At 38.5% G+C, this 18,556-nt stretch overlaps 1 protein-coding gene across 11 annotated transcripts in view, besides 1 other annotated feature; it reads right to left on the bottom strand.

The window, feature by feature from the left end:
- Window positions 1–18,556, bottom strand: part of CTNNA2 (catenin alpha 2) — a 1,463,404-nt gene that overhangs the window by 662,852 nt on the left and 781,996 nt on the right. The window lies entirely within an intron of this gene.
- Window positions 7,621–8,122: an enhancer, noted in NCBI's record as "NANOG hESC enhancer chr2:80204933-80205434 (GRCh37/hg19 assembly coordinates)". NCBI's record gives its function as "activates a minimal SCP1, AML or CMV promoter by ChIP-STARR-seq in naive H9 embryonic stem cells {active_cell/tissue: H9 hESC(naive)}" and the evidence as "EXISTENCE:reporter gene assay evidence [ECO:0000049][PMID:30033119]".

Raw genomic sequence — 18,556 nt, 5'->3', positions numbered from 1 at the left:
CCTAGAGGGAATAAGGACAGATATTTGCTTTATGATGGAGACCTGGGACTCAGGCATCTATTTGCACTTGCCCTGGTATGATATCTGGCAGTTGTTCCCACTTGCCTGGCTCCAGGTCTGCTACAAGACACCCAGGAGGTTGGATGCTGGCTGCTGGCACACTCTAGGCAGGCAAGGCCATGCTCAGACTTCCCTGCTGCTGGGCCTGCTGCTTGCAGCTTCTGTTTCTAGTGCTGTCTGTTTCCATTGACGTTAACATATACAGTAGATTAGTTTGCTTAATGAGCAACATTAATGCATCGATTAATGTGAAAATGTGACAACATTTGCTTTACCCCATCATGTCCTTTGTTTAGTTTATAGGCAGGATGGCCACCTTACTTATTGTCTGTCCATTAAACACCTACTTATTGAGCACGTACTGTGTGTTTAGGTCTAGACTGGACTCTGAGGAAAGCATGCAAAACACTCAGAGGCTGCCACTCTCACTGAAGAGGCAGTTTGCACACATAAGGAAAAGGCACCTAATGACTGTAGGGATGTACCCTGAGCAATGCTGAAAGGCTGTGACAGAATTCACCTACAGGGGAAGCTGGTGAGGCATCAGTGTAAAGGAAGGTGGTTCAGAGCCCCTGGGGTTGAGGCAGTGCCATCGAAAGAATTCTGAACAGTGAGTGTAAAGGCATGGAGTGTGCAGCACTGTATAGGAATAATGAGTTATCTACGGGGGGTCAGAGTGGAGGATGCAGTGGAGGAGTTGGCTACAGATCAGCCTGCAGGGCAGGCTGGAAGCATCTTGGGAAGTGCTGTGCTTTGGGTTTGAACCCAATCATGCAGGCTGGGGGTCAGTAAACATTTTCTGTTAAGAGCCAGAAGGTAAACATTTTTGGACAGTCTCTGCTTCTCAACCTCTCAGCTCTGCCTTTGTAGGCCAAGAGCAGCCATAGACAATATGTAAACAAATGGGCATGGCTGTGTTCCAATAAAACTTTATTGAGAAAAACAGGCAATTTGGCCTGTGGCTATTGTTTGCCAATCCTTACTATAGGTGATGGGAAACCTCCTAGGATTTTTAAGCAGGGGATTATGACCTGACACAGTGAGTATATTAGATAGGTCACAGTGCTGCTGATCAGAGGATATAGTGAAGGGAAAGGAGGTAGGAGGCAGAAGGATGGGTCAGGGAGCAATAATGGCAGGGCTGGGCATTTCTGATGCCTCTGTGAGTCTCACTCTGTGGTTCACTCCTCTGTACAGTGCCCCTCTGCCCTCAGCACACTGACTCATAGCCACACTTCACTTGGAAGTTCTACAAACTAAGGCATCATTCTCAACCCGGTTGCATTTCCTAAAGTACATTTTGGCAAAGATGTCTCTTAAATTAATTAAGTATAGATCAGCACAAAGGTAACTTGTAAATTTGACAGGATGTAGGAGATGAAAAGGATGCCTTGTAAAGAAAAATGTGGAAAATCAGGGTTTAAGGTAAAACAGAGACCAGCATGATAAATGAGCACAATCAGCCCTTTTATCTTTTAATATTGAAGTGAGAAGAAGGACTTGGATCAATGCCCCCATCAATAACTAACTCTTTTCTCTCTTCTCAGAACAACACTAACTTGCTCAATGTGGAGACAGTGGGGAAAAAAATCCTTTCTTAGGCATTTTTCTGAAGAGGGTTTCCAAACAGAGGCCCTGGTTGCCAGCACTACTTTTATGAACACATGAAAATTCCGTGGCAATTAACAAAATCCATCTGCATTAATGTGTTGAAGTTTCTGCAAACCCAGAATTAAATTGAACATGCCAATTCTAAATCAATTATTATGGGGAATTGTGTAGCAAGTCTTCATAATAGGACAAAGGTAATCTTCGGCACAGCTTGAGTAGAAACCGAGGTTTTGGAGTAATGAGGCTTTATGATAAATGAGGACCTGCTTTTATTTTTTTTAATCACTCCAGTATAGGTTGTCCCTATCTGAAAAAGAACTATGTTCCAAAGTTTTCAGTGCAATTTGGATTATATTTTCTCTCAGGAGCATGGTATAAACGTGAGTCAGTTCCCAGGCTAGCCCTTCAACATTCATTTAAACCCAAAGAGAAATGACATAAAAACAGTAAGAAGCAATGGCTTTGCAGTACTAGTAATTAAGCAAATCAAACACAATTTTAAGATTAGAAAATCTTTTATTTTCAAGTTTTCTTAAAAACAGAGAATTTAAGGAAATACAAGAGAGACACAGGATTCATTCCGAGGTTCTTATCAGTTACAGCACTCTCCTCCTACCTGTTCATTTGACACAAGACGCACTGGCCTCTATTCTTTGAAGACTCCAAGCTTGTTCTTAACTGGGCCTTAATGGTTTCTGTTGCATTAGTCTGCAACACATTTCCAAGTGAGTTTTAAATGTCTACATCCTTCTAATTACCAAGTTCTCTTAGAGAAGCACGCACCATGAGTATCTAAAGGAGACCCTCCCTATCCTAGTCAGCATCTGTACTGTCGCACTGGGTCAGTTTCTTCACAGTGTTTATAAAAATGTTTATTATTTATTTTTCTATGTATTTATTGTGTGTCTCCTCCATTTGGATATAAGTTTCACGCAAGCAGGGACTTTGTCTTCTTCATCCCACAAGTGTTGAATTTTATATGTATAAAAATGTATATAATGTTAAACTATAAAAATTTATTATTATATTAATATGGATATGTTGTATATTAATATAGGTATATGAATATATAAAACATATATGTATTAATATAGATGTGATATACAAAATATATATATATATACACATATATATATAAAACTGTTGACTGGACCTTGAGGGGTTATATAGTTGCTTTCCAGGGTTGTGTAATTTGGGGGCAGGATTTCTCTATTTTCTCCAATTTAATTCCAAAACCAGTGGCCATCAATTATTTGATAGAGAGACCCAGGCTGAGAACCATTCTTTTAAGTTCATTCACAGACATCAAAATAGCTTGGTTCCTCATAAATGAAATAATCTGTGGTCAAGAGAGAGAGAGTTATTCCTTTAATCCATCAGTCAAATTTGAAAGAGAGATAGAGGAAAGTGAGTTTTTAAAAAGTTTACATATGTATCAATAAGTAAAAACAGTATGATGTTGACTCAACTAATTGTATGTCTGTAAAAGCACAAAAATGGAGATCAATAGGTGAAAGCAAAATTTCCCAGAGAAAAAAACGCAAGCACTGAGGACGACAGACCAAAATACTGTCACAGGCCTCCAGGGGGTGCCACCGGCATAGCACATAGTTGTCATTTTACACTGAGTAGGAAAGGATATGCTAATAGGAAGCAAAGAGCAATTAACAGAAACATCAGAAACCTACCATGAAGACTGGGCAACATGGAGAGACCCCATTTCTACAAAATATATATATGTGTGTGTGTGCGTGCATGTGTGTGTGTGTGTGTGTGTGTGTGTGTAGTTAGGAGTCTGTAATAAGCAGATTCTGTTATATATATGTTATATATGTGTTATATATGTGTTATATGTTATATATGTTATATATGTTATATATGTTATATATATGTTATATAGGTTATATAGGTTATATATGTTTTATATGTGTGTTATATATGTTATATATGTTTTATATATGTTATATATGTTATATATATTATATATATGTTATGTGTGTGTGTACATATACATACATATATATATATATATATATATATATATATATATATATATATATATATAGTGGCACATGCCTGTGGTCTCAGGTACTCTGGAGGCTGAGGTGGGAGAATCTCTTGAGCCAGTGAGTTTGCGGCTGCAGTGAACTGTGATCATGCCACTGCACTCCAGCCTGGATAACAGAGCAAGACCCTGTCTCAAAATAAAAACAAAAACAAAAACAAAACACTACCATGAACCAAGAACTTGGCTGTTTTTATATATAATCCTTACAACAATCTTTTGAAGTTCATATTCTATTATCTTTATTTATCCTAATGAGGAAACTGAAACTCAAAGTCGTTTAATCAAGAAAGGCTAATTCTGGGTTACGGATCCAGGTTTAAATCAAAGTTTGCCAGGATTTATACTTTTTTTTCCTATTTCATTTCTCCAGAAAGGACATACATTAGTTAGGTATTTACACTTAAAAATCTGAACATAAAAAATTTACGAAATAAATAATGGGCAAGTTTGACTGGACATTTTCTTTTCTGAAAAAGTAAGCTTTTGCTCGATAAAATTGCTTTACATTATGATAATAACTGATTTTCCTAGGGTCCATAAGAATGACTTTAATTACAAAGCAAGTCTATTGTGTACTGTGGCCGTGTTTTCCAACTGTCTTCTGGAATACATGTTAGAGTTAGGAGTCTGTAATAAGCAGACTCTGTTAGCGAGTTACAGGTGTCAGTGTCACATCATAGTTCTTTCCTATTTTCATGGTAAGTGAACAAATAAAATAGCTGAAAAATTACACCCAGAAAACACAAAGCAGGGAAAACTAAAAGATCAAATAAACTATTCTCCCACCATAACTTGGGAAAGTTACTTCTCTTTTCATATCTGTATCCACAAGAATTGAAGACTCACTGTAATAGTCAGGATGCAAGTAGGTAACCGGATCAATCCTAAAAAAATGTAGCTATGGACATTTTATTTTATCTCCCCTTAGTCTAAAAATGCGTGCTTAAAAATGAAGCCCCCTATTTTTTGGTTTTCTGAGTCCTGTTTTTTCCCCTCTGTTTACTTAGTTTTGTATCATTTATTTCCATGCTTTACCCTGCAAAATAAGTGCAACTCAAGCTCTTTCAAAGAAACCAGGACAGAAGCGAATGTATCATTTTGACAGTGGAAAATGACAAAACATCTTTCAGAATCTCTCCATACGTGGCTGATAAATGAGCCGCATCAACCACAAATTCTAATACCAAGCAAAGCCTAGTGAAAACAAGTGAGCCCATTCAGAATATATCGAGGAAGACAGCACAGAATGTTTGACTGTTAAAAAAAAAAGAAAGAAAGAATTGTTTCTTTGTTGATTTGTAAACGATGAGCAAAATGAATAAGTAATATTGCAACTTAAATATTTCAGTTAATTACTTATTTACTAAAGTGTGACTACAAAATGATGATCATGCAGCTTTTATTTCTAAATTAATTTCTAATTGCTTATTTTTCTAAAACAAGCAGTGTGAAAAACTTGAAATCTATCCAAATTAGCAAAACATGCATATGATGCGTGTAAGACAAATTCACACTATAGCCCTTTGCTCTTAACATTATATTTTACTTTTAAAAAATCTTAAAAACGATTTTAAATATGTTTACATAATTATAATGAGGTTTATAAATATCCATATAAATATTACAAATGAGGTTTCAAAATGTAATTGTAGAATCAATAAAAACAATTAGAAATTTCAGTAATAACTGCTATAATTTCAGAGGAAATGCATCACTAAGAGCCTAATTTTTGCAATTAGAGGGCTTTGGAGTTAAAAATATTAAAACCAATGAGGTTGATATTACCAGTACTAATCAATGTCATAGCCCTGTTTCTTTTCTGAGCCTTCAAAAGAATTAGATGATGTCATGTGACAAATCGTCCCTATGAAATATGAGTATATGCATTTACTCATATGAGCAAGTTAAAAACTTGCATTTTTAAACTTGCATTTAAAAATGACAATGTCATTTCAGGACCAATGTAGTGCAAATCCTCTTTGTGATTCTCCAGGATGCTTTTCTCCTGCATAGTTTACTTAATCATAGAACAACAAGAGTTACTGGGTCTAGAAGAAAAAGAAATTAGGATGAGAAAAAGAAATGCAAATCTAAGAAAACACAGATAATTTTCCCTTTAAAAACTGGAAGGTGTTCATTAAGTTTGAATAAGGCATGAGTCTTAGATACTTAGAGATGGAGAAGCACTTAGAGGTCATCGGATGCAACATCTCCAGTTATAGATGAGAACACAAAGTCTCAGGTTATATTTCATGTCTGCTTCAATGTCTCAGTACCATGAACAATTAAGTTCCTACTGCGTAAAAGGTAAAAGGTTTTGCTTTATATAAGTCAACATCTAGCCAAGCTCCTTTCTCTGCATTAGTTGCTAGGAATTGATATTTAAATATGCGGTCTGATACTTGTAAGTGTGCAGGGCCTTAAAGCCTGATATCTCTGGCTTTATCTTAGTATTTTTTTTTTAAATACTTATTTTCCCATTCCTGGATTTTCTCACTTTCTTTTTGTCTTGTCGTACTGTAGTTTTATCACAAACCACTTCAAATCCTTTCTGTAATTAGCTAGGTATAAATAAATTAACAAACAAAATTAAATAATTTCAAAGCCCCATCCAATTCTGGTATTTTATTTTCTAGGGACTAGGGGAGCTAAACATTTTAGGTTTGAAACTTGCAGCTAATTTTCCCCAATATGTAAAGCAACCAACCAATCAAGAATGTTGGGTTCTGTGCTGGGACACCGAAATGATGTTCTAAATCTCATACTCCACAGGCCCACACTCATGTTATCAGGGTTTTCCTTTTTTAGAGATAGGGTCTTGCTTTGTCACCCAGGCTGGAGTACAGTGGCATGATCATAGTTCACTCTAACCTCAAACTCCTGGGCTCAAGCAACCCTCTCACCTCAGCCGCATGAGTAGCTGGGACTACAGGCAGGCACCACTGCACCTGGATAGTTTTTTAATTTTTTTGGAAATGAAGTCTCACTATGCTGCCCAGGCTGGTCAAAATCCTGGACTGATGTGATCCTCCCACCTTAGCCTCTGGAGTCTCGGGGATTACAGGCTTGAGCCACTGTGTCCGGCCTATCAGAAAATCACACTGCTTTCATCCAAGAGTGTGATTCCCTCAGGGATGTATCACTGAATAATCAACAGGTGAGCAGGTTCTAGAGCCAGACTCCTTGAATTAAAATCTGATGAACTTGGCCATTTACAAAAGTCTTGACATTGAGCAAATGACTTAACCTCTTTGAGACTCAGTTTTCTTTATGTCAAGAGGGCATGATAAAATAGAGCATTGCTGGCAGGGTATAAATGAGATAATACACAAACTATTTAAAATTGTTCCTGTTTCACTGTTAGCTCTTATTGTTAATGGAAGATTATGAAGCACCATGAAAAGATGAAGAATTAGTGACCCCAGAATTAATACTATTTTGCTCTAGGAAAAGCCTAGAGGCGTGTTTCCAACTGCTCCTCATCAGTAGTTGGTGGCTCTTACAGCACTTATGAGCAACTGTGTAGACTGGGAAGCAAATGGACAGATATGAATCAAACTCTTTTCTCCCCTAGCATCCTACTTAAGGCTTCTAGACTGGTAACAATGGATTGTCTATTGATTCTGGACTAAAAGATGAAGGCAACTGGTGACTAACGCTTTACATGACTTGATCTTCAGAACTATTGGTGGGGAAGGGGGAGTAGTGTCCCTTGATGATAGTCATTATTATATGGTACCCGTGGCCAGAGAACAATTTAGTTCTCACAGCACAGGTTAGATGCAAACTTCTAACTGCCAGAGATGACAGATGAACAAGGCTTAAATTCTTGATGGAACACACATCCCAAACAAAGGAAATGGGAAGGGTGGCCGATGTCGAAAGCCAGGGCTCTCCTGATGAATAACTGTGGCAGAGCTCCTTCTCCCTAACTTTGACCCAAGTAATCCGTGCAAGACAAATATACGGTCAAAATGTATGGCCCGAATGTCTTAGTATCATTATTATGAAATGAATGCAACTGAATTCCCTAAGTTAAAACTATCCTTCTCTTCCATAAGAAAAAAACAATATGCATCTCAATGGTAAAACCTTACCCTATGCGAACTTCAGTGAAGGCCTGTTCATGTGGAAGTGGGAATCAAAGTAGATTTTGCATTTGGCAGTTTGAGGCCTGAGTCACCACCCGCTGCTGCTCTGTACTAGTATTTCAGCTGGAGAGTCCCTGCATTACTCCCTTCTTTCCACTGTACTCACCACCCAAGCTTGAGCACCCAACAGGTACTCAGTAAAGGCTGACAGATGAGTTGAATTGAGGCTGAGAAGGATATAATTCCCTCTGGCCAGAGAAAGATAATTTTACACATCACAGACTGGCAAGGCTTATTGAGTCTGAAAGCTCACAAAATGAAAGAAAAAATAAAGAAAAAGAGGGGGAGGGAGGAGAAATCTAGGAAAACAAGTATTTTTAAGATTTTTTAAAAAGCGTTATATTTTAGGTTTCCAACAGAGAAAAATCTACATTTTTCCCCAATTAGTGTTAGTATGTTTGTATTATAATGCACTATTTAAAACTATGCATGTAATAACTGTATTTTTAAAGCATTTTTGATATTAGAACAGAAATATTTTCTAGGATAGCATGATTCCAAATTCAAGCTTCCAGTAAAGGTGGTAATATTAAAAATAGGCAAGTCTAAATAGGTGCTGTTGACCTTCTGGGCTGGATCATTCTCGTGGTGGGGGCTGTCCTGTACACTACAGGGTGTTTAGCAGCTTCCTTGGCCTCTACACATACATGCCAGTAGCACCATTGCCCCAGTTTTGGGAACCAAAAATGCTTGACGTTTACCACATGTCCCTTGGAGTGCAAAACTGCCCCTGGGTCTACATGATAATTACATCTCTCATATCAAAGAAGAGTGAGAACCAGTGTGTGTGTGTGTGTGTGTGTGTGTGTGTGTGTGCATGCATATGCATGTGCACGTGTGTGTGTACGTTTGCAATTACATCACTCATGCATTTATTGATTCACATAAATTAGGGATAAATTACCCCCAATTATTTAGTAAGACTATCCTATTAATACATTTCTGTGAAACACTATTTTAAATATATGTAGAACATTTAAGTTTCAAGCTCTGTGTGAATCAGAAAGTCTAAACCACAGGGAGGAAAGAACAAAATGGCAGTTCTACAGTGGATTAGCATAGGATTCATTGTATAACTCTGAGAACAAGTCTCATATTTAAGAAACAATTTGATCACTGAAAGGCAGGAAGCCATGATGTGCCTAAATGCACTGCAGAAATATGAGGCTTTCCCTTTTTCTTTAAGAGGGCAAGTATGATTGCTGTTCTCTGCATTATCGTGGCTGTGCCCCAAGTGGGGAAGGAACTGGCCAAACACTCTACACCTACAAGCAAACACCTTCACCAAGGAAACAGTGGCTCTTCTGTACTATATACATTTTGGAAGAACGTATTAAATTTCTCAAAGCTTTATTGTCTATGCAATGGGACAATATACCTTTCAGGTCACTGTGAGGTTAAAATGTAATCGTAATGCCTGTGCCTGATACAAAAGCCCTTAAAATTCTTTCAAAATCTTAAATGTATGGAACAAACAAATCAACAAATAGAACTTTTAATCCACTGGGACAGCAATATTTGAACTTGCACTGATGGAAAGGCCTGAAGAAGACACTTTTGCAGCCATCTAGAGAAAGCAAAAGTGCTCTCGAATGGAGACATAATCCGTTTACATCTCAATAAAAAGGAAGGAGCATTCTGCAGAAGGTAGTTGTGTGAATCACATTCCATTGAAATTCAACTCCAGGGTATGGTGTCTTATTCAGTCACAATCCGTCTCCTGTTCAGTTGGCCTGAATTTCTCCCCACAGTTTAGTGAGGAATGGCAAGCAAAAATCCTTGTTATACCAGAGATAGGCATTAATTATATTTAAATGGAATTATTACAGACACATGCCCACAGATTAGAAAAGCTTATAAAATTTTCCTCTTGTGAGAATGTGAAATACATATTTGATCTTCTTCTCTGTTTCCTGACATGTAGTTCCTAAAACCCTTAGAATTTCCAGAGTGATGAGTGTCTATTGTATGTTAATGAGGTGGCTGGGGATCCCTAGATAAATTCAGCTTGGGAGCTGGTCACCAGAAGACCAAGGCATGATTAGAGGATTGGGAGTTTCAGCCCCAACCCCCAACTTCCTGGTAGGGGATAGAAGCTGAAGGTTGGGCGCCTCACTAACGGCCAATGGTTTAATCAATCATGTCTACATAATGAAGTTCCCAGTAAAACCTAACAGGACTGAGTTTGGAAGAGCTTCCAGATAATTTGAACTTGTGTAGCTTCCTTGGAGGGTGGTGCGCCTACAGAGGGCATAGGAGCTCCACTCCCCTTCCCCGTACCTTGCCCTAACACATGTCTTCCACCTGGTTATTCATCTGTATCTTTTGTAATATCCTTCATAATAAACTGTAAATGTAAGTAAGGTATGTCTCCAAGCTCTATGAGCCACTTTAGCAAATTAATCGGACCTGAGGAAAGGGTCGTGGGAATGCTGATTTATAGCTGGTTGGTCAGAAGCACAGGCCACAACCTGTGCTTGCTATGGCATCTGAAGTGAGGGACAGCCTCATGGGACTGAGCCCTCAACCTGTAGGATCTGACACTACCTCTAGGTCAGAACCGAATTGACGTAGAGGACACCCAGCTGGTGTCTGCTGAAGAATCTGCTGCAAAATTGATCTCTTAGTGTGTGGGGGGAAACTCCCACACATCTGGGGTCTCAGAAGTGTTTTGTGTTGACGGTGTTGTGACAGTAGAGTAGGAAAAACTGAGTTTGTTTTTCCAAATCCTTACATCTCTCATATACATGAAGGGTGAACAATGATTTGATGACTCTGAATGAAACCAACTGTGAGGAACAGCTGAAGACCAAGTTCCACTGGAATGATACCATGGAGAGAACCCAGAGTCTGCCTCTAACTCAAAATCATTTTGTTTCACGAATAAGGCAAGTCACTCCTTATCCATTTATTTCAGATTGTTGGTCCAAGTGCTCCGTACCTCATGAAGGATATTCTTAGGGCAGAAAATGAGAAAACAAGCCTCCTCCTCATTCACCGTGTTCCAAGCTCACCAGCCTCTTGATGTTCCTGAACACTCTGGGCCTCAGGGCCTTTGCACCTGTTATCCCCTCTACTTGGTATGACGCTCTGTTCTCCAGGTATCTGCATGGAAAGTCACCTCAATGACACCTTTCAGAGCTACCTAATCTAAGACCTCAAGCTCAGTCTTTACCCCTCCTACGCTTCGTCTGACTCCTCCCCAACTTAATTTCTTCTCATTGATTAATGTCTTAGCATTTTCACTTTATAACATTGCATGTTTTATTTGTTTATAATTTGTATTATCTGTCTCCCACACCAAAATTTAAGCTCCCCAATAATGGGGATTTTGTCCATTTCATTCAGCTTTTGCCTAGAAGAGTGCCTGACCCTTCAACCTATATCTGCTCTAAAAATATATATGAATGTGAATCAAATAATATTAGAAAAAATATCATAACTTCCTCCAACTTTAAATCCTTCTTTGACTAGGAATGCTGCTAAGGGATGATGTTGAAGACTGAAGATGAAGAACTTTACTTAAATGTGGTCAGTTTGAGACTTGGTTAGAGACAGGAAATTATTTTGGTAGCAGAAGTAAGTACGTCAATGTCCAGCCTTATGGTCAAGTCCAATGTCTTAAGTAACACAGAAAATGGTGCCTGAAATAAGAAACGTGTTGAACCTTCTCGCTAACCTTTTAGGATTCCACATAAACCCATTTGCTTCTACAGGGCAATTAGCATTTATTTGTCTCCTTCACGACGGGCATTGGGCTTTATCTTTAGCTCCACTTCTCATATATTATCTCTACAGCAGACTTCTATTATTATCCCCATTTTACAGATTGGTAAACTGAGACTAAAAGAAATCATGCTCAATAAGTTTCCTAAGTTTCCCAAGGTGATACACCTGCGAAAGTTTTCAGATTCAAAATGTAGTTATCTGTGTTTAAAAAAAATGACAAAAAGAGTTGAAGATGGCGACAAAGGGAAGGCTCTCATACATGAATGCCTGATAACAAAAAGTATCACAAAAGTCTCTGAAAACCCCAACCTTGGACAAAGGCCACTGCAACATTACTCAAAAACAAAACAAAACAAACAAACAAACAAAACTAAAGAAACTCCACTCTTGCTTGTCACTTTGATTGACAAATACTTTGTTTTGGTTTCTGTTTGAACTTCTGGACTATCAGGTACTTCTGTGAAGACACAAGCCCAGCAACTGCCTGTCCAACCTTACACTGGTTTCGCCCTTGGTACTGATCCTTGTAGCTAAGGATAATTACCTCAAAACAATTATGTAACACTCCTCAGTTTTTCCTTAAAATCCTTTGGCTTCCCTTACCTCTGTGAATACATACATAGTTTACTATGCCACAGGTTGTCCATTGCAATGCCCTATTCCTGAATAAATATCAGATTTTGGTGAGGCTCTGTTTGTTTTTTAGGTTGACACACCTTAGGAGTATGTTTTCTACTTATTTTCACCTGGGCAAAACCTATTCCTCCTGTTAACAGGCTTCAATATTTTTTTCCAATAAATCTTCTCTGTTCCACCATTTTCTGGCTTCAGGCAACTTACCTCATCTGTGTGACCCTCTGTTTTTCTCTCCTCTACATGGAAGTGATAATAATATCTCTAGCTTGCAAGTACCCAACAGATAGTACCGGCCTCTCTGCCAACCCTCAACATTTCCTCAGGGCCAACTTCGCTTCAGGAAAGACCTGAGAATCCCAGAGGCCATCCATCAGCCTGCATGCCTACCCTGCTTTGTACTTGCAGCATGAAAAACGTGCTAACATCAGCCATTGATTTTGATTAGAATAGGGAAAAAAATAACCAAGAGAAAGGGAAATTAAAATATCTGATTTTGAAAGAAAATGCCAAAGACATCAGAAAGACAGTAATCTTTTTAGCATTACATAGAAAGGAAAATAGAGAATTTATTTCAGGGCAATTAAAAAAAAACGGATTGTTTTTTCTCTTTTGAATGAAGTTGCTGCATGGCCTCTTTCTCTCTCTCAATGGAAATTTGAAATGGGAAAGTTTCCCAAATAATTTTAGATCAATCATGAGTTCATATGGTTTTGACATCATAACTCTTGTCACGTTACCATGCCAACAGGCAGAGAGGAGCTAAAAGCTTTCCAAAGATATGAAAATTACGAGCTTAGATGGGATTCAGTTCTCCACCGGGTGAACACTAACAGTATTGCCAAACTATAAATAACGAGGGCTGCCATAGCACCCTGTCACCCACTCTCCCTTGTTTCTTTCATTGAGCACTGAAAATATGTGCTCTATTTTGGAAACAAAACCTGAAGATCCACTTCCCTAAATGGATGCCCTGCTGCAATAGAAAGTGATATGACTCTTTATTACTGCTCTTGGAATAAACCACCACATTAATCCAGACACCCGCAGCTCTTACTCCACTTGTAACCTAACTCCAGCATATCTAATTTTTACTCCATTTGCACCTAGACGTAAAGACGTGCATGTGTTTGAGTGTCTTTTCCCTGTCTTGTGAAGATCATGCCAGTCAAAGTGCCTAAAATAAAGGAGCACACATACCACGAATTAGAATAAAATACTATTTTGGATGTTGTTGCTCTTAAAAATATCTCCAGAATGAAAATGCCAAATTTTCCAATGTGCAGCATGTTTATACTCACCACTCTTGCTTGTCATTTTGATTGGCTTTGTTTTGGTTTCTGTTTGAATTTCTGGGGTATCAGGTACTATTATAGAGCACAAGTAGAAGCTGTATCTTCTTCTCTATCCTTATTGTAGCGCTGCATAAATGGTAATAAAATGGGTACTTAATAGATTTTTTGCTGATAATAAAACAATGAACAAAGGTTCTGCTCCTTTTGTGTGGCAGACTCTTAACTTTGAACCATGACGATGAACTGTGCCTGCCAGTATTCATGTTCTTGTATGGTCCCCTCTCTGAGTCTGGTTGGCCCCGTGATCTGCTGCAACCAAAGAATGATTTGGAAGTGATGCTGTGCCACTTTGGGGCCCAAGCCATAAGAAGCCTTGGCATTTCCTGCCTTTGTGTTGCAAGAATCCCAACTCACTAGGTGGTGGAGCAATGAGGTTTTCAACTTACAGCCCCAGCTGAGAACTGAGCCAGCAACTAGAACCAACTTGTAAGACCCCCTTAGATGGGACCTCCAGCCCAGTAGAGTTGCTCCAGCTGACACACAGTAGAGCTATCCTTGCTTAGCCTTGTCCAAACTACAAACTCAGGGGCAGACTTAGGAGCAAAAAAAGAAAATGGTGCTGTTTTAAGCCACAGCGTTTCAAGAAAGTGTGTTCCAAAGCACTAAGGCACCATTAAGTATCACATATTTACTAAGAAAAAAGTACAACATAGCTCTTCATGCAACCAAACCTGAGTTCAAATCCCTCTGCTCTCACATTTTTGTGATGTAAGACAATACGTTAAAGCCATATTTCCCACTTCTGAAAAGGGGGATAATTATAAATACCAAATGTATCAGGGTTTGAAAGCAGTAAATGAGGTCATCCATGCAAAGTGCTTAACATAGCACCTGCCTTAGGATAAGTAGGTACCACATAAGAGCTAGCGTTCATATTCTTTATCGAGGCACTGTGGAGATAAAGACCCGCCTCAGAGAAAAACACCATTAATTCAGGAAATGAGATGTATATATGAAACTATTAATAAACGATATAAGGAAATATGATGATAATAGTGATGATAATATGTTATATGCGTGTCTTGAGGAAGGGAAAATAAATTAGTTCAAAGAAAGTATATTTTTGAGTGGAAGGTGAGGGGAGGAAATAGCTGACTATGTCTGTACATTTGCTTTTGAGTTTACAAGAAACATTGAACAAAGACATAGTGAGGTAAAATTCACAGTCCTTATCAGACAGCCTTAGGTAGAAGGATAGAAACAAGTTAAGGATGCCAAAATGGGGCTGTCTCGCCTCCCCAGCATTATACGTCTTTCAAAACAGAAGAACCTGAATTCTTGGGCCAGTGTTTCTGGCCCCAATATCAGCTAGACTACAGAAGCCATTTGTGTAAATGTCCTTGCTAAATTGATAGGACCCAGGAATAAGGCCAAGTAGTTCCACAGACACATTAATCTTGGAAAGAAATAATGTTGTCAAATCACAGTCCAACCTCAAGTCTTTTCCCTCTCTGAGTAGTGATTTCGCCACACTCCTAGGTCTCCCCCTCTGAGTGTGACTTTCAATTTTTTTAGACGTTTACACCTAGATTTCACATTTAGCTTTCATCAAAGGATGAAAGGATGTCAAATTGCTTTCCTCACAGTAATTTACTGGTGCCCTCCATTCTCCAGTATGGCCTGCCACCTATTATTATTGTATCTAATACCCGACAGAATAAAATTCCTGAGGAAACCCTCCCAGTTGCAAATGGAAGGTGCTAATATACTTAACATAGATGCTGTGAATCCAGGAATCAGCTTGGAAACGCTTTTCCTCTTCTCCATACGGAGCAAAACATGCAGCCCCGTAGGTGGTAGCAATGGCCACCGTGGTCTATTCAGGGTATAGCAGAGGAGAATAACAGGCTGAGACTGACATGACTAAGTTAGAATAGGTACAGTATTCTAGAAGGCCAGAAATATTTGGAATTATGTTTCAGAATTAAGACAGGCTCTTTGACACAATCAGCATAGTTAGAATTTCTTCCCCAAGGCATTTTTGAAAAGAGGTTTCAAGCAGCCTCATACCCGTGGAGTAGAAATAAGCCCCTGATCTAGCAAGAGGTTGGCCTGGTGGTGAAGCAGGTTGACTTTGGGGGAGCCTTTCCTCTTGCTCTCCATTACTGTCCTCCTACCATTGCTTGCTCCTCCCATTCCCATCTGAATTCCCTTTCTCTATAACACTGTTCCCAAAGGCTGTTCATTCACCATGCCCCAAGAAAGGCATTAGTTCATGAGGGCATAAATGCTTACCCCTACTAGGAGTATGCACCTATTTACTGTAAGGATCTAAACCTTTCACATGTAGTAACAGTAGAATATCAGTCGCTTTCACAGGTGGTGGGAGTGCTTTGGTCACTTTCAAATCGTGCCATCTAGTAAGTTATTTCTACCTCCTCCACCTCCTCCAAAGCTGTCTTGCTCTTCCAGCTAAATGTATTCATTTGTCAATAAAACCACACTTTTGGCATGGAATATATCTTAGAAACCACAAAGCCAAACAATACCTTGAACAGAATTGTAAAACCCAAAAAGTGTTTCCGATTTAATTGATCACACACAGAGATAAATGCTTTATTTCAATAATCACTGGCCAAGAGTGAAAGGAAAAGCAACCAAAGGAAGACAGAGAAGGCAGAAAAAAGCACAGTGAGTCCCCTACCACCACTGTTTAAGTTATAAGCTAAAGACTCAACCAAAGTATCTATCTGTCTCTATGTGGTCTCCTTAAGTTCTCATATACAGGTAGTTTACTTCTGTTCTTCTCTCAATTTATTTGGAAACATTCCTATGTCTGTAATAAGGATTTTAAAAGGAAGGTGAAACAAACCTGTAATTTCTTTATTTCTGACCTCTTTCTTTTAACCGCGTTATTGAAATCCAGTGGATGGAAGGACAGTCCTCTCTTTAGCCATGTTCTTATGCAAAGTGCTTAGTGAATTAGCTTAATCAGGAACAAATGCATATAATTTGCTGTCCTTGAATTTCAAAAGAGCCATCTTTAGAGCACGGGGCTCCAAAAGAGGCACAAGAAATAGTTGGCTTAGTTTGTTGTTCCCCCAAAATATTGAGTTCCAATCCCTGGCCAGCTACCTAATAAATGTGTGCTCTTCTTGTTCACATTAAAATTTTTTTGTTGTTGTTGTTCTTGTTAATTTAGTCACTTAAACTGGATTTAATATTGGTTGGTAGTGCACAAGGAAAGCCAGCATAATTTAGTCATTAGATTTGGTCCCTGAAGTCAACAGTCTGCACTCCATAAGTAATGATGTCTCTTAATAGATGGTGTGACCACAGACAAACTGCTTACCCTGAGCCTACTTCACCACCAATTAAATAAGGATAATCATAGTATCTGTCTCATAGGGCTATTAAGACGAAAAATGTGATTATGTTCAACAGTTTCTTTAACACAAATGGTCTCAATACAAAAAGGGGTAGTTGGAAGATCAGTAATGAAATCTGGAATAACACTGGAGCAACGAAGGGATTCAAAGTAAAAAAAAAAAGAAGGGTCATGCCATGTAAACACTTGAACTTCAACTCTCTAAATAAGGCGAAGACAAATAACTAACATACAGATATCAAGTAACCATACGAAATGGAATTTTTGTCAAACAGGTATTTTTTCCTTGTATATCTTTATTTTGTGTGGGGGGATTGTTTATATTTTGTTTTTTGTGTTGTTTGGTTTTGCAGAGTTGAGGGTCTTACAATATTGCCCAGGCTGGTCTCGAACTCCTGGCCTCAACTGATCCTCCTGACTTGGCCTCCCAAAATGCTGGAATAACTCTCAGCCTCTTAATCTCCTCTGCCATTTCCTGAATGGACCACGGAGACTATTGCTACCAGCTACTGGGTTGCATGTTTTGCTCCATATGGAGAAAAGGAAAACTGTTCCCAAGCTGATTCCTGGGTTCATAGCCACCACTGCACTCAGCCTATTTTAAAACTATTTAATGAAACAATTTTCTGTTCTCATGAATTTTGTATTTTACAAAGAATGCCCTAAACAGTGGCTACTCTGTCAGCCTGGGTTCTGAGACTGAAAATGACCAACACATAGAGCAGGAATTTCAGCTACTCTAGATGAGGGTGTGATATAAATGAGCTCTGTTTTTTTTTTATTGAAGTAAAATTAACATAAAATTCATCAATTTAAAGTAAACAATTCAGTGGTATTTAGTACACTCACAATTTTGTGCAACCACCACTTCTATCTAGTGTGAAAACATTGCCATCACTCCAAAAGGAAACTCCAGGCCTGTTAAAATTCCCATTTCTCCCTTTCCTCAGCCCATGATAACCACCAACCTATGTTCTTTCTCTATAGATTTGCCAATTCTGGATATTTTATATAAAGGGAATCATGCAATATATAACCATTTGCTTTGGCTTCTTTTATATAGCATAATGTTCTTGAGTTCATCCACATTGAAGTATATATTGGTTATTCATTCCTTTTTAATGGCTAGAGAACATTACCGCAATTTTTTATCCAATCATCTGTTGATAGCCATTTGGGTTATTCCACCATTTGGCTATTGTGAACAACACTGTGATGAATATGTGTGTACCTGTATTTGTTTGAGTGACTATGTTCAATTCTTTGGAGTATATACTTAGGAGTGGACTTGCTGGGCTATACAGTAATTCTATGTATAACTTTTAAGGTAAATCTGTTTAAATCACTGAGTTTTATGGATTGTTTGTTGGAGAAATTAGCTCATCTTGTTGATCCATCAGGGTAAGGCATTAGGATTTTATTCGAGAAGGCTCAAACAGAAAAATGGGATGTTTTCACGTGCATTTATAAAAGATCACCCTAGCTACTATTTGGAGAATTGGTCATCATGAGGCAAGAGAGGAAACAAAGAGACACATTAGAATCCCTTGCATTAGTTGAGGAGGTGAAACTTGTTGGGCTAGTGAGCCTGTAGAGATTGAGACCTTTTGAAGGAGAAGAC

Source organism: Homo sapiens, chromosome 2, assembly GCF_000001405.40.
Source record: "Homo sapiens chromosome 2, GRCh38.p14 Primary Assembly".
NCBI classification, from domain to species: domain Eukaryota; kingdom Metazoa; phylum Chordata; class Mammalia; order Primates; family Hominidae; genus Homo; species Homo sapiens.
The sequence above is the reverse complement of the archived record's forward strand: the minus strand, read 5'-3'. Positions and strand labels throughout refer to the sequence as shown.